Source organism: Homo sapiens, chromosome 3 (assembly GCF_000001405.40).
Source record: "Homo sapiens chromosome 3, GRCh38.p14 Primary Assembly".
Taxonomy (NCBI): Eukaryota; Metazoa; Chordata; class Mammalia; order Primates; family Hominidae; genus Homo; species Homo sapiens.
Window position 1 is genome coordinate 87027086 of NC_000003.12, and position 5191 is coordinate 87032276.

The following is a 5191-nucleotide window of genomic DNA, read 5'->3' on the forward strand; positions in this document are numbered from 1 at the left end:
CCCTTGATAGCATGTCCATACCCTCCAGTCTCTCTGAGGCTCTTCTTTCTTAATTTCAAGATCCTAAGCCAGAGCTGGTATATAAAAGCTATTTAATACAAACCTTCCAAATGAACCAAGGAAACTCTTGGTTAAGACCACTATTTTAAGTTAATTTGATGTATGATTTAAGCAAACTTTTTCCTTTTGCTGGGAGTAAGTTTTCACATCTATAAAATGAGTATGAACAAGAGGATCTCAACAATTTCTTCTACGGTAGCCATTAGCCTTGTTCATAAATATCCTGGTGCTCCACCTACCAGGCCCATGTTAGTCTGAAGTATGGCATGATCATGTGACTTTAGTATAAGTGACATATGCCCCTTGTAAGACATTGCAATGTTCACTCTTTCCTTCTTTCTCCCTCCCTTGTGGTGACCGGAAGAAGGGATTGAGATGGAGCAACGCACCACAATGGACTGTGTCGGATAAATAGCGTGAGTGAAAATGTTTGTTGTTTTTCAGATTTGGGGGTTATTTTTGTTTTGTTTTCTTTTGTTTCGTTTTTTGTTGTTTTATTGAGACGGAGTCTCGCTTTGTCGCCCAGGCTGGAGTGCAGTGGCGCGACCTCGCCTCACTGCAAGCTCCACCTCCCGGGTTCACGCCATTCTCCTGCCTCAGCCTCCCGAGTAGCTGGGACTACAGGCGCCCGCCACCACGCCCGGCTAATTTTTTGTATTTTTAGTAGAGACAGGGTTTCACCGTGTTAGCGAGGATGGTCTCGATCTCCTGACCTTGTGATCCGCCCGCCTCGGCCTCCCAAAGTGCTGGGATTACAGGCGTGAGCCCCCGCTCCCGGCCGATTTGGGGGTTATTTGTTAACACAGTGTAGCACAGCCTTCACTAAGTTCAACACTTACATTTCATGATTCTATTTTATTTAAGAGAAAACACACTTCCATTACAAGGCTAATATCAGGCCATAAAAGTATGGTTTCCAAAAATCGATTACATTAATATGCCCTGTAGAAGGGTTATTTTTAAAACAATCAACAACACTTGAAGCACAAGTATGCTTCTATTTAATGACAGGCAATTATAATAAAATAAAAAGACTTCAAAATTAGTTTTATATAAACCATAAAGAGAAATGGGGTATAGAGAATATTTTCCTCTTCTGCTTTTAATTTATATCCAGAAAAGATGGTTTAGTTTCTATCTTTTGGAAAACAATGTTGCACATGGACTCAATTTTACTAAAAATGCAGTGTTTGTGTATATTATTTTCCAAGTCATTCCTCTTTCCAAGAAATATGGCTAAGTTTTCCCTTTTTGACTACATTTTCATGATTTCATGTGTTATATGGTAATGTTTTAAATATAAAAGGAATTTTAAAAATATATTTCCCCTAACTTCAAAACTATCACCAAAAAGTTGTACCAATGTCAGAAAATCCAAGTAAATTTTTTTAAAACTTAGGCTTCCATATATTTCTAATTTTAGAGGCTAATCATTGAATAGACTGAACAACCAAAAGAATGCTTATATTTTTTCTATTTTATTCAGCAATTTTTATAATGACAAATTGATTTTTAATTTATTTTACATTTTATTTGAAAATAAATTCATCTGGGGAGATCTTTTTTGGGGTTATCAATGAATTAAATCTTGCTTTCCACTGGTTGTAAAACTTTTCCTTTTTCTAACCTAGACTCTGATAGCCAAGAATGAAATTGCTATTATGCTTTGACTGTCAATATTTATCCAAGACATTTCAGATCTTCACTTTTCTTTAGGCTAACCATTAACACAGCACTTCTATTTTTATTCTAGAATCTGAATCGCACTGCTTCTTTGTGTACTAAGGTTTAAGGAGGCACAGATCATAAAGACAGCTCTTTGACCTAACAAACTGACTTCAAACTCCATAGGTTCAGCCAACCAGTCAAGTATCCTTGGAGAATTACTTACTCTCTGGAAACCTTAGGTTCCATTTTTACAAATATCAGTACTGATAATTATCTGCCTCATGCATTTGTTATTAGAGATCAATGGGATGTGCCATTTAATTCCAGAACTATAAGTTCTATAAATGTGTGTTGCTTGGCTCCTTCCCTAGTCCCAGTATTCACCATATCTCATACGGAGGAACCCTTGTATGATACGTGTTGAGTCAATGATTGTATAATCATTTGAATCAAAGGAGTTAATGATGTATCAATGCTTGAATAAAACTTTTTATAATATTTAAAATATTGGATAAGCTCTACAAGTGATAGTTATAATTATGACTGTCATGATACAATATTTACTTTTACTCTTAAATTCTCCCAAGATTTTATAGTTTGGCACTTTTATAAAAAATATTTCCAGCCTGGAAAACATAGTGAGACTGTGTCTCTACAAATAATAATAAAAAATTAGCCAGGTGTGGTGGTGTGCCCCTGTGCTTTCAGCTACTCAGGAGGCTGAGGTGGGAGGATCACTTGAACCCAGGCAGTTGAGACTTCAGTGAGCTGTGATCATGTCACTGCACTCCAGCCTGTATGACAGAGTGAGACCCAATCTCTCACTCTCTCTCTCTCTATAGATAGATAGATAGATAGACAGACAGACAGATAGATCAATTTTTATATTTTTGATAAACCATATTGCTAAGGCCTAAGATCATGGACTATTGTAAAGAAAACCCTTATAGAACTTTCAAGAAAAGCCACTCATTATTTTCTGTATTCTGTCAGTCCACAAAGATTGTTATCATCTTTACTTTCAGGATTTACGTTACTTTAGAGATGTCTATTTAATTGATTTAAATGAAAATGTAAGTATTGATAATATATTCTGTGTATGATGCTTTTAGACACATAATCTACAGATTTATTTTCTTCATGTGACCCACACTCACTCTCTCTGTCTCTCTGTCTCTGTCTCTCCCTCTCTCTCTCTCTCTCTCTGTTTCTTTCTCTCTCCTCTTATAAGCATCCTTCTAGAGACTAGAGGAGAGTTTGACAAGATCACCCTATGGAAAAAGCATCAGCACATAGCCACACATGCTGTTTACCTCATGGTGTTGCCATTTCACTTGTGGACTATAAATACTTAAACACTGAATAACACACCCCTCCTGAAGTTGACCTCTTCTGTAGACTGAGTTGCTTGGCTCAGGAATTTTGCTATTCCCTATGAAGTACTGTGATGAACCAAAAAAGTAATGAGCAGAACTTTGAAATTCCCTCCTGGTTCATGCTAAATGAGGATAGCAGAGCAAAGGCAACTCTTTGTGATGCAAGACAAATCCAAAAACCTGTAGCTACACTATGCTCCCCCATGCCCAAGCCCAAAATGATTAGTAAAACTGCTTACAAATCTTGAGAAGAAAAATGGCAAAGAAACCAGACAACGTATGCATTTTTTGTCACCACACATATATTTACAAATGATCCACATTTATTTGTATGCTTGAATTTTATCATTTTATGCTATTCCAGTAGTATTTGCCAGTGTGGTCATACCTGGGTATCTTTGTTTCACTGTTCAATGGAGCAAACTCTAATTACAAGTTTTCAGAACTTTTTGCACCAGCTAACTTGGCTAGTACTATAAAAAGACGTTTACAAGTCAATTGAAGAAACATATTTCTTTTCTGTAAGTAAACTAGCAAAACTCCCCAGCAACATACTGGAGACTTATAGGTAAGAAGAATGAAGGATCTCAGGTTATTCTAGTCCAAGATTCCTTTAGGGAAAAGCATATAAATGTTTTTAACAGATCCACCCTTCTAAGTTATTTCTTCATTTATTGTTCTTGGTTACCTGGCTCCAACGCATTAAAGAAGGTCTTCAGGATGAGGATGGTGTCTGGAGTCTGGCTATCTGAAGCAGAAGGAAGAATCAAAGTTCTTCTCAGAGGCCCTACCAAAACATATTAATATAATAAAGACTTTTATTTTTATAATAAATGAAAGGAGGCTTTTGTTTATGACCCATAAATATATTTTCACTGCTGCCAAAATATCTGGCACATAGTAGGCACTTAATGAATATTTGAAGAACGAATGACTGAATGAAAGAACGCATATTACCTGGCTAATTGATTAAGCAGAATTTCAGGATTCATTGATAATTTATTCATTTTTACATCAAACAATTTGTGAATAACTTTAGATCTTATCAATTTCATCCTTTTCATTTTGATGAAGAATTTGATGCCCAGAGATTTTCAGTGCCAGCTGCCTATTCTGAGAGAGACAACCACTCTGAGGGGCTTGGGGTGTTCTTCCCGAGAAATATACCAGCCTGTGGCATCGTAAAAAGTAGGAGCTAGACACAATGCTGGTGAACCAGTTTGCTCCAGGTTACAACTCAACTACTTTCAAATTTGTAAAAATCCAATTATCTTGTGGCTCAAGTCTAGTTATTTTCTTCTAGTGCCAGTTGTGACCCAATTTTGCAAGGAGAAATTCTTCTTTTAAAAAAACCTTTAAAAAAACCTCCTTTTTGCTCTTCCTCCCACTTAGACCACAAATCCAGGATCAGTCTGAACCTTTATTCTGCTCTAAGAAACATACTTTCCAACTGCTCCCTGCTTTTCTTCCTTAACAAGTTTCCCCAAGTCTTTTCTCAGACCATATTTCGAATGTCAGTTCTTCCTCCAGCTAGCAACTCAGTCAACAAGTATTTAATGAGAGTCTGCTCATATGTGCACTAATTTGCAATGCTCGCAATCTTTCCTGCTCAAACATCTGAATTTGGGAACGTTGTGTGAGGAAGTTTATAATAGGCCAGGAACCCTCAGGCCACTCCATCAGCTAAAACAAGCATGTTGTATTCTCAGTACTAGATTTTGTACCTCCTGGAAGTAGAGCAAGAAATAAGAGAATCATCTCTGCCAATCTTAATATCCAACGACTTGCCTTAATCTCTAAATCCACACTTCATATAGTCAATACAGTCTTGTATTGACCTAGTACATTCTTGTTCTCCAAAGTAACGTAAAAAATGTTTTTTACCTGTAATCCCAGCACTTTGGGAGGCCGAGGCGGGCGGATCACAAGGTCAGGAGATGGAGACCACGGTGAAATCCCATCTCTACTAAAAAAAAAAAAAAAAAAAAAAAAATACAAAAAATTAGCCGGGCGCAGTGGCAGGCGCCTGTAGTCACAGCTACTCAGGAGGCTGAGGCAGGAGAATGTCGTGAACCCGGGAGGTGGAG

General features: G+C 37.2%; 1 annotated feature.

Moving 5' to 3' along the window:
* Nucleotides 4421-4621: a silencer, noted in NCBI's record as "peak4738 fragment used in MPRA reporter construct". NCBI's record gives its function as "represses an SCP1 promoter by STARR-seq MPRAs in K562 erythroleukemia cells {active_cell/tissue: K562}" and the evidence as "EXISTENCE:reporter gene assay evidence [ECO:0000049][PMID:32103011]".